This window comes from Homo sapiens, chromosome 13 (assembly GCF_000001405.40).
Source record: "Homo sapiens chromosome 13, GRCh38.p14 Primary Assembly".
NCBI classification, from domain to species: Eukaryota; Metazoa; Chordata; class Mammalia; order Primates; family Hominidae; genus Homo; species Homo sapiens.
In genome coordinates, this window is record NC_000013.11 from 97,776,667 (window position 1) to 97,787,885 (window position 11,219).

The window sequence follows — 11,219 nt, forward strand, 5'->3', positions numbered from 1 at the left end:
GTTTAATTATGTCCCATGTATTTATTTCTGTTTTTGTTGCATTTGCTTTTGGGTTGTTGGTCATTAAGTCTTCACCTAAGCCAACATCTAGAAGAGGTTTACTGATGTTATAGTATAGATTTTTATGGTTTTAAGTCTTAGATTTAAGTCTTTGATACATCTTGAGTTGACTTTTTTTATAAGGTGAGCATTCAAAATCCAGTTTCATCCTTCTGCATGCAGCTTGCCAATTATCCCAGCACCATTTTTTGAATAGGGTGTCCTTTCCCCACTTTATGTTTTTGTTTGCTTTGTTGAAGTTCAGTTGGCTGTAAGTATTTGGCTGTATTTCCAGGTTCTCTATTCTGTTCCAGTGGTCTGTGTGCCTATTTTTATAACAGTACCATGCTGTTTTGGTAACTATAGCCTTGTAGTATAGTTTGAAGTCAGGTAATGTGATGCTTCCAGATTTGTTCTTTCTGCCTAGTCTTGCTTCAGCTATGTGGTGTCTTTTTGGTTTCCATATGAATTTTAGGATTTTTTTTCCCAGCTCTGTGAAGAATGATGATGGTACTTTGATGGGAATTACATTGAACCTGTAGATTCCTTTTGGCAGTATGGTCATTTCACAGTATTGATTCTACCCATCCATAAGCACAGAGTGTGTTTCCATTTGTCTGTGTTGTCAATGACTTCTTTCAGCAGTTTTGTAATTTTCCTTGTAGAAATATTTCACCTTCTTGATTAGATATATTTCTAAGTATTTAAAAAAATTTTTTTTGCAGCTGTTGTAAAAGGGATTGAGTTCTTGATTTGTTTCTCAGATTGGTCATTGTTGGTGTATAGCAATGCTACTGATTTGTATACATTAACTTTGTATCCTAAAACTTCATTGAATTCATTTATCAGATCGAGGAGCTTTTTAGATGAGTCTTTAGGGTTTTCTAGGTATATGATCATATCATCAGCAAGCAGCAACAGTTTGACTTCCTCTTTACTGATTTGGATGCCCTTTCTTTGTCTTGCCTGATTGCTCTGGCTAGGACTTTTGGTACTATGTTAACCAAAAGTTGTGAAAGTGGGCATTCTTGTCTTGTTCCAGTTCTTAGGAGGAATGCTTTCAACTTTTCCCCATTCAGTATAATATTGCCTGTGGGTTTGTCATAGATGGCTTTTATTACCTTGAGGTATGTCCCTTCTATGCCAATTTTCCTGAGGGTTTTCATTGTAAAGGGATGAGGGATTTTGTCGAATGCTTTTTCTGCATTTTTCTATTGAGATGATCATATGATTTTTGTTTTTAATTCTGTTTAAGTGATGTATCACATTTATTGACTTACATATGTTAAACCATACCTGCATCCCTAGTATGAAATCCACTTGATCATGGTGTATTATCTTTTTGATATGCTGTTGGATTCAGTTGGCTAGTATTTTGTTGAGGATTTTTACATCTATGTTCATCAGGGATATTGGTCTGTGGTTTTCTTTTTTTGTTGTTGTTATGTCCTTTTCTGGTTTTGGAATTAGGGTGATACTGGCTTCATAGAATGATTTAGGAAGGATTTCCCCTTTATCTTTCGGAATAGTTTCAGTAAGATTGGTACCAATTATTTGAATGTCTAATAGAATTTAGCTGTGAATCCATCTGGTCGTGGACTTTTTTTGTTGGCAATTTTTTATTACTGTTTCAATGTCACTACTTGTTTTTGGTCTGTTCACAGTTTCTATTTCTTCCTGATTTAATCTGGGAGGATTGTATATTTCAAGCAGTATATTCAGGAATAAATCTTTCTCCTCTAGATTTTCTAGTTTGTGTGCATAAGGTGTTCATAGTAGACTTGAATGATCTTCTGTATTTCTGTGGTATCATTTGTAATATCTCTCGTTTCATTTCTAATTGAGCTTATTTGGATCTTCTTTCTTCTTTTCTTTGTTAATCTCACTAATGGTCTATCAATTTTGTTTATCTTTTCAAAAACCACCTTTTTGTTTCATTTATCTTTTGTAATTTTTTGTTTCAATTTCACTTAGTTCTGTTCTGATATTTGTTATTTCTTGTCTTCTGCTGAGTTTGGGTTTGATTTCTTCTTGTCTCTCTAGTTCCTTGAGGTGTGACCTTAGATTGTCTATTTGTGCTCTTTCAGACTTTTTGATGTAGGCATTTAATGCTATGACCTTTCCTCTTAGCACAGCTTTTGCTGTATCACAGAGGTTTTGATAAATTCTGTCAGTATTATCGTTCAGCTCAAAGAATTTTTAATTTCCATCTTGATTTCACTTTTGACCCAAAGATTATTCAAGAGCAGATTATTGAATTTTCATGTATCTGCATAGTTTTGAGGGTTCCTTTTGTAGTTAATTTCCCATTTTATTCCACTGTGGTCTGAGAGGATACTTGATATAATTTCAGTTTTTTTTAAATTGACTGAGACTTGTTTTGTGACCTATCGTATGGTCTACTTGGAAAATGTCCCATGTGCTGAAGAAAACAATGTATATTCTGCAGTTGCTTGGTAGAATGTCTTGTGAATATCTGTTAATTCCATTTGATGTAGGGTATAGTTTAAGTCCATTGTTTTCTTGTTGACTTTCTGTCATGATGTCCTGTCTAGTGCTGTCAGTGGAGTATTGAAGTCCCCCAATATTATTGTGTTGCTGTCTATCTCATTTCTTAGGTCTAGTAGTAATTGTTTTATAAATTTGAGAACTTCAGTGTTAGGTGCATATATATTTAGGATTATGATATTTTCCTGTTAGACTATTCCTTTTATCATGCCCCTCTTTGTCTTTTTTTAGACCATCCATATCATCTTACCAATGATTTTTAAAGAACAAGAACAAGAAGACCAGAATATATCTGATTGCAACATGCTTAGTCATAATTGCAATAGTCACAATGATCACAATTCTACCTGCAGAGATTTTTTTCTTTCATTTGATTTTAGTCTACCATATTTTAAACACAGAGAACCTGTTTTCTATGTGTGAGCCCAAGTGTTAGACTGTTTGTGGCCCACATGCTCACAGTGTAGTTACCTGATGGACGGGGTAAACCTTCTTCTTAAGGTGAGACAGCCCACAGGCAGGATCACCTCCACAACCACCTTATGCAACTCTGACCATGCTCCCAACTCATTCCACAATCTGGCCTTTGGGGTAGGAGTAATACATGATAAAATTTGGAGTTAGGAAGAGGGTAGATAGGAAAATGAGAAGATGAAAAATGGGTCAGGGCAGGGAGGAGGAAAGAAAAGGGCAGGGGAGGGACCATTCCAGGGAAAATTGTACCTACTCACAATGGGAGGGAAGAAATATTTAAATAAGCAATAGCCAAATTTTTCACTGTTGTTTATTCCCTCTCCCAAGTATACATTTATTCACCTGGGCCCAAAATACACAAACTGCTATTTTAGAATAGCCTATAAAAAGAGTTTTCTGCCAAATTCAAAAACACTGTGCCCATGATCTAGGTTAGACCATGTATCTGCGTATATTGTTTTTATTTTGCCATTTTCAATAACACAAGCCCCAAGACATAATATCTTTTGTACTCCTTCAGAAGTGCATTGGCATATTCTGCCTTTCTAATGTGTCTTAAACACTACCAGAAACTAGACGAGGTTGATTTATTTGAGTCTCTGACTGTGCAAGCTCCAAAGAGTCTTTGATGGAAACAATTTGACTTTGGACTTACGGGGAAACTGACAGGCTCAGTTCCATCCACTGGATTGTAAGTTCCTGTAGAGAATTCTCAAATATATTTTTGATCAGCATCTGCTTTGATGTGATCTTTGCAGGAGTAAAGGAAAAGGAATGGAGGGAGGTTGGGAGGGTAAAAGGGAGAGAGAAAAGGAAGAAGGGAGGGTGTAAGGGAGGTCTTGACAAGAACGTTGATGGCCCACATTGGAGATGAGAATGACGCATGGCCAGCTATGGTTTTGACATCAATCAATAGATTATCATTGGCCCGTTTGTGACAGCTGCTCTATTTACACTGCACCCCCACTCCTTAGCCCACACAGGGCCCAGTGTAATGTTCTGAATGGTGGCTCATTATTTAACCACCCTCCAGGCACAGCACTCAATGAGACACTGTTCCAGCTCTCTCAGAGTTTCTCCTCCAAAGGAAAGAGAAATGAACATTGATACCAGCCCAAAAACACACACAGTTCTATTGAACACACAAATATAAATTCATACACACTCAAATGCTCTCGCTTTTCTGCCGTCATCTCTACTTTCATTATTGAGCCAGCACTGGAGAATTAGAAAAGGGTCTCCATCCCTCTGGATGGACAAGCCCCACAGCCTTGGGAGTCTACACAACTGTTTATGGTGGCCCTATTAATTATAGACATTCTACACATCTAGAATCCAAGAGAAGAGAATTTAGGGTTTATTCTAGATGCTGAAGAGTATGTATGGTAATATCCTTGGATACCTTTTCTGTTATTTTACAAGAAAAAAAAAAAGGAGGGAGGGCTAGAAACTGAACACTCCTTTGTATTTTTTTAAAAAAACATGCTATCGAAGGTTCTCAACGTTAAAAGAATTTTTTGTTAATATTTTAAGTGCCTGTCTAGGCACATGTGTTTGCTAATGGATATTTCTACTTAATCCAAATGACAGAGTTCTACATACCTCATAAAGAAAAGTCATTCTATTTTGATGCTGTATTTACTAACTCAGAAACCTGACATTTCTGGAGGAGCTGTGCCAAGTAATTTCATGATGATAAATTTTATAAGACAAAATACTGTTTTCTACACAGCTCAGGTATAATTTAAAAGGAAGATAAACAGTTCCAACATTTAATGGGTAAACAAATGTGGCAGAATAATTTATTGAGATATTAATTTGTGATTTTTTGGTCTTGCTCCTGCAGGAGTCTGAAAAAATATAAAAGTATTGTCATTTGCCCAGGCAAGAATGTGGGCATGTTATGAGTCCAAATTCCTTCTATTATTTACAGTGTCTCATTTTAAGGCCTGAAAGCAAAGCTGCCAAGCAACCTTCAAAGAGAGAGCTACAGCTCCAGAGAGTAAGTTATCAAGGGCCTATCCTAGAGCAGGGCTGGGTCAGGGGAGGATGGAAGGAGAAGTTCCCCAGGATATCATAAGGGATGGAGTTGGGGTGAATCTATAAGTGGAAGGGATCCGTTTACCAAATGCTCACAGAATTCCAAGAGGTATAGAGGGACCAGGAATATCTGAAAAAAAGTAGTCTTCAGGTTTCCCTAAACAGCTTCATATGGACTACCTTGGTCATGAGTAACCAATGTTGAGAAACCAATGTTGCAATCTCACTCCCACTCCCACTGTTACCCTCAGCCATGAGAATCCGAAACCATTCTTGGTCTAGGTATCACTCCCCAGCGGTATGTTTTGCTAAATAATCTTGGGTTTAATTATAATATTGGTCACAAATTATTTGCTTTGGCCCATGGGACACAAGTGGAAACTTGAATAGTGCTTGCTTATTTTGATTTCATCATTTCTTGCTGCTTCTGGAACACAGTCCCCCAGTAATCTGGGATAGCTGAGTCATACTGGACAGACATAGCCCTATTGCCCACACCACCAGGGCCAACAACCAGACATGTGAGAGAGGTCTGGGACTGACAAACCCCCAGGTGACCCATCCTGCTATGGGCTGAATGTTTGTGTTCCTCCAAAATTCACATGTTGAAACCTAATCTCCAATGTGATTATATCAAAAGATGGGGCCTTTAGAGGTGATTAAGTCGTGGGAGCACAGCCTTCGTGAATGGAATCAGTACCCTTATAAATGAGGCCCCACAGAGCTAACAAGCCCCTTCCACCATATGAAGACACAAAAAGAAATTACCATTTATGAGTAACAGGCCCTCAGCAGGCACCACATATGCCAGAGCTCTGACCTTGGACTTCTCAGCCTCCAAAATTGTGAGAAATAAATTTCTGTTGTTTATAAGCCACCCAGTTTGTGGTATTTTTGTTATAGCAGCCCAAATGAACTAAGACAGAGATTGGTACTGAGGAGTGGGGGTATTGCTACAACAAATATCCAAAAATGTGGAAGCAGCTTTGGAGCTGGTTAATGGGTAGAGACCGAAAGGATTTTGAAATGTATGCTAGAAAAAGCCACATTGCCACGAAGATACCTTAAAGGGAGGTTCTGATGAGAGCTCAAAAGAAGAGGAAGATGTAGAGAAAGCCTCAATCTTCTTAGAGAATATCTAAATATTTATGAGCAAAAAAATTCATAGAAATACGGACAGTAAAGGCCATTCTGAAGAGGTCTCAGATGTAAATCGGGAACATAATATTAGAAACTCATAATATTGGAAGCTCAGCTTTGTTATATAGTGACAAAGAACTTGGCTGAATTGTGTTTGTGCCCTTGTGTTTCATGGAAGATAGAACTTGTGAATGAAATCAGACATTTGGCTGATGAAATATCTAAGCCAAGTATTAAGGAGTAGCATGGCTTCTATTGAGTGCTTATGGTGAAATGCAAGAAGAGAAAAAAAATAAAGTCAATTTCATAATCAAAAAGAAAGCAGAACTTAATGATTTGGGAAATCCTCAGCCTATCTCTATGGGGTAAAAGGAGAAAACGTGCTCTGGAGAGAACACTAAGGTTGTGGCCAGGCAATCTTTTGATAAAGAGATGAGTATGAATTACCCAGGTGATGTTTATCAAAATGATGGAAGTATGACCTCTGGGCATTTTGGAGATTATCAGTGCTGCCTTCCATGACCTGCCAAGAGTGACAAAATGTAGGGACCAGCCAAGAGTGACAAAATGTAGGGGACAGAACAATGTCAAAAGAGGGGCCCTGAGCTTCTACAGAGCCTCACTCAGTGCTTGCTCAAGTTTGCTTGCTTAATGCTTTCACCACCTCAAGTATCTGCTCCCCAGATTCTGGTGTGATGCTCTTTGGCAGCCTCAGGTGTGGCTCCAGGAGGCCAAGGTGTGATTCAAGACACAGTGGCTGTCCCTCTAAAGGGCATGGGCAGTAAAACTGGGCAGCCACCACACAGTGCCATCTCCATAGATGTGCAGAGTGCATGAGCTGTGGGGACATGGCTGTCTCCACCTAGATTTCAAAGGATGCCCTGAAGAGCCTTTGGGCCCCATCAGGGAACCACAACAGAGAGCCCCCAAAAGGGCAATGCCTAGTGGAGCCATGAAAGTAGGGCTACTCATAGCCTTGGATGCTCAACACCTGCCTGGCAATGCTGCAGAGTCTGGACCCCTGTCCCACGGGCTGAGAGGCACAACATTGAATCAAAGATGACTTTGGAATCCTAAGCTTTAATGCTATTTGCCTTGTTGGGTTTTGGACTCACTTGGGACCTGTCATCCCTTCCTTCTTTCCTGTTTCTCCCTTTTGAAATGGGAATGTCTATCCTATGCCTCTCCTACTATTGTATTTTGGAAGCGAATAACATGTTTGATTTCACAGGTTCACAGCTGGAGAACAATTTGTCTCAGAATGAATAGTACTTTGAGCTTCACCTATATCTGATATAGGTGACATTTAAATAAGACTTTGGACTTAAATTTTAAAGTTGATGCTAGAACAAGTTGAGACTTTGGGGGCTACTGGAATAGAACGAATGTATTTTGCATGCAAGAAGGACATTGTTTTAAGTGGTCTAGGAGTGGAATGCTAAAATGTTTGTGTTCCCCAAACTAATATGCTGAAATCTAGTCCCCAGTGCAATAGTATTAAAAGGTTGGGCATTTAGGGAACAATTAGGTCATGGGGGGGACCTAATGTGTCATGAATGAAATTCATGCCCTTATAAGAGAAGCCTCAGAGAACTCCCTTGCCCCTTCCACCATGTGAGGATGAAGCAAAAAAGTCTCCATCTATCATCTAGAGAGTGAGACTTCACCAGATGCCATATATGCTGGTGCCTTCATCATGGACTTTCCAGCCTCTAAAACTGTAGGAAACAAATTTCTGTTGTTTATAAGTCACCTCGTCTGTGGCATTGCTATAGTCACCTGAACAGATTAAGACACATACCCAGGTGACCCAGCTGTACAGCCACATGAGAGAGGTCAGACAAGACCAGTGGAAGAACCATCCTGCTGAACCCAGGCCACACTGACAATCCATGGAATCATGAGCTAAGTTAGGGCATGGTCTGTTATGCAGCAATAACTGATTCAGAGTTTTAGCAAGAGAATGGTGTAGGTACCCTTCTACTCCAATAGCATCACATAACTCATGCTAAGTCCCTCCTACATTAACTGCTACCACGGGAGCAATGCAAAAGCCCAAGTTCCAAATTAGCCAGGGACCTCTTCTGAGTTAACACCTTTTTCAAGTCACAACATGCTTTTGAGCACAGGTTTTCCTTCCAGAAAGCCAGGTCAGAGCACGCATCAGTGCTGACACCTTCAGACTCAAAACCACTGTCCTCTCTTCCTCCCTCCTCACTCTGGCCTGCCTTCATCCCATTGGCCCTATCAATTTCCAAGACTTTCCTGAAAATGGGCCTTGAACAGAACCCATCTGGTCAACCACAATAGCTTTACCTTAATTCTGAGTCTTAGGATTTTATGAATTGACATGTGTTCCCCTAATATTTATATGTTGGCATCCCAACCTCTTGTACCTCCGAATGTAGCCTTATTAGGAAATAGGGTCATTGCAAATATAATTAGTTAAGATGAGGTCATACTATAGTAGGTGGGCCCGTAATCCAATATGACTGGTCTCCCCATAAAAAGGGGAAATGTGGGCACATCAACACAGGAAGAACACCATGTGAAGATAAAAGAGATCAGGGTGACACTCCTATAAGCCAAGGAATGCCAAAGATTGCCAGCAAGCCAATAAAAACTAGGTGAGAGGCATGGAACAGATCTTCCATAGCACCTTCAGAGGTAGGATGGCCCTGCCAACACCTTGATATTGGACTTCTAGCCTCCAGAATTATAAGACAGTAAGTTTCTTTTGTTTAAGATGCCTAGTTTGTAGTACTTTGTTATAGCAGCCCTAGCAAACTAATACACAGAAAGAGGGTTTTAGGGGTCTCAGTTTCTTACCAACCAGGAGATCCCTGAATTATTTATACAAATTACTAGTCTCTTTCCCAGCTCCCTGGTCTGCTAAGTTATGTAAAATAAAAGACCCTGTCAAACACTTTCCCCAGGTCAATGCCTATGGACTAGCCGTGCACATAAGTTATTTTTTTAAAGTAATTCTACTAAAGGTCTCCTATATACAAGGAAATAATGTCATAAATTTTCTCAAATTTTACAGCAACAAATAGATGTCACTTTACATATACTATCAATTTAAGTATATACATTACAAGTTTGCTTTGTTTAACTACAGATTGTTTGATCCCGGAAACATTGGAGGAACAAATCTTAATGGCATTTAACGATGCCAAATTTGAATGCCTCATTTGATAAATCAGAATTTTTCTGAGCAAATTATTTGTTTCAGCATTTGCTTATACTATGCACATATGGATATCTGAAATACATCCCTATGAAACAAGAAAAAATATAAATGGATTAATTAAGGAGTTGACTCAAGAAGTTAAAAAAAGTAACAAAGTAAGCCAAGGGAAAGTAGAAAAAATGAAAACATTAATACATTAAAAAAGAGATCTCATATAATTGATAAGTATACATGAGCTATTATTTTCTTAAGAAAAAATGAAGCTATATTTAGCCTTTTTTTCAATGAGAAAGAAGAAAGAAAAAATAGTAATGGCAAAGAGAAGAGTACCACAGATACAGAATAAATTAAAGACTTAAGGGTCTTAACTCTGTCTATAGCTCTGTAAATACATTTGAAAATATGAGTAAAATGAGTACCTCTCTTCTTAGAAAATTAAAATTACCAAACTTGATATCATAACAGAAATCTTGTCCTCACAGATCTGTATCCTTAAAAGAAATTAAAATCTTTTGTCAAATGATCTCTTCCTGACAAAAATGCGTCAGTCCTGAAATTTTCCAATGTGAATTCTCACAATCTTCCAGATTTGAATTCCAATACTATGTACACTTTTTCAGAGACTACAGGAAGCAGGAACATTGCTGACTCATCTTTTAAAGAGCAAAAATAAGACTTTCACTTCTGCCCATAGTGGAGTAATAAATAGAAAACAAAGTCACCCTCTCACCTGAACAAAAACAAGAAAAACAAAGCAACAAAATATGTAAAACAATAGCTTTGAAGACACTGGACATCAGGCAATGAAGGAAGGTGATCCCTGGGAGTTGGGCAGTCAATAAAATGAGCCCTGTGGTCGCCTAGCTTACTTCTGCCAGAGTTTCCAGGCTCTAGCAAGGGGTGACCCAGGTGGAGAAGGCCATGGACTCCCTGAATTGAGGAGATAATGCTGAGAGCCCAGGGAGACCCAGGCATTTAGATTTTGCAGGAGTGAGCAGTGGACTGGAGGAGTATAGAAGGAAATTGTATTGATTTATTTTTTTTTTGAGGTGAGTTCTCACTTTGTCACCCAGGCTGGAGTGCAGTGGCGTGATCATGGCTTACTGCAGCCTCTACCTCCCAGGCTCAAGCAAAGGTACATTTTTTCCTCTGAATCACCTTTGCACTATTGTTGCAGACAATTGTCCACATATGCATGGATCTATTTCTGGACTTTCTATTCTATTTCTTTAATATGCCTATCTTTGCACTAATACTACACTGGCTTATTATAATTTTATAACTCTTGAATCAGGTAGTGTTATCCCCCCATCTTCGTTTTTTGTTAAAGTCATTCTGCCTATTTGGGGTCCCTTGCACTTGTAAAAATTTTAGAATCTGGTTGTATATGTCTACAAAAATTAATGCTGTGATTTGTTTGGAATTGTGTTGAATCTAGAGATCAATTTAAGAACTGACATCATAGCAACTTTGATTCTTCTGACCTATAAACATATTTATCTGGGTCTCCTTTGATTTTTCTCAGAACATGTTACAGTTTTCAATGTACAGGCATTACATATCTTTTGTCAGATTTATCCCTAAGTAGTTAACATTTAGGTGCTAATTTGTTTTATAGTTCAGTTTTGGATTGTTCATTCCTAGTTTACAGAAATAGAATTAATTTTTAAGTATTGATCTTGTACCATACAACTTTCCTAAACTTATTTATTAGTTCTAGTTGCTTTTTGTAGATTCCATCTGATTTTCTATTTAACTGATTATGTCATTTGCAAATAAAGACAGTTTCACAATCTGGGTGCCTTTCCTTTTTCTTGCCTCATTG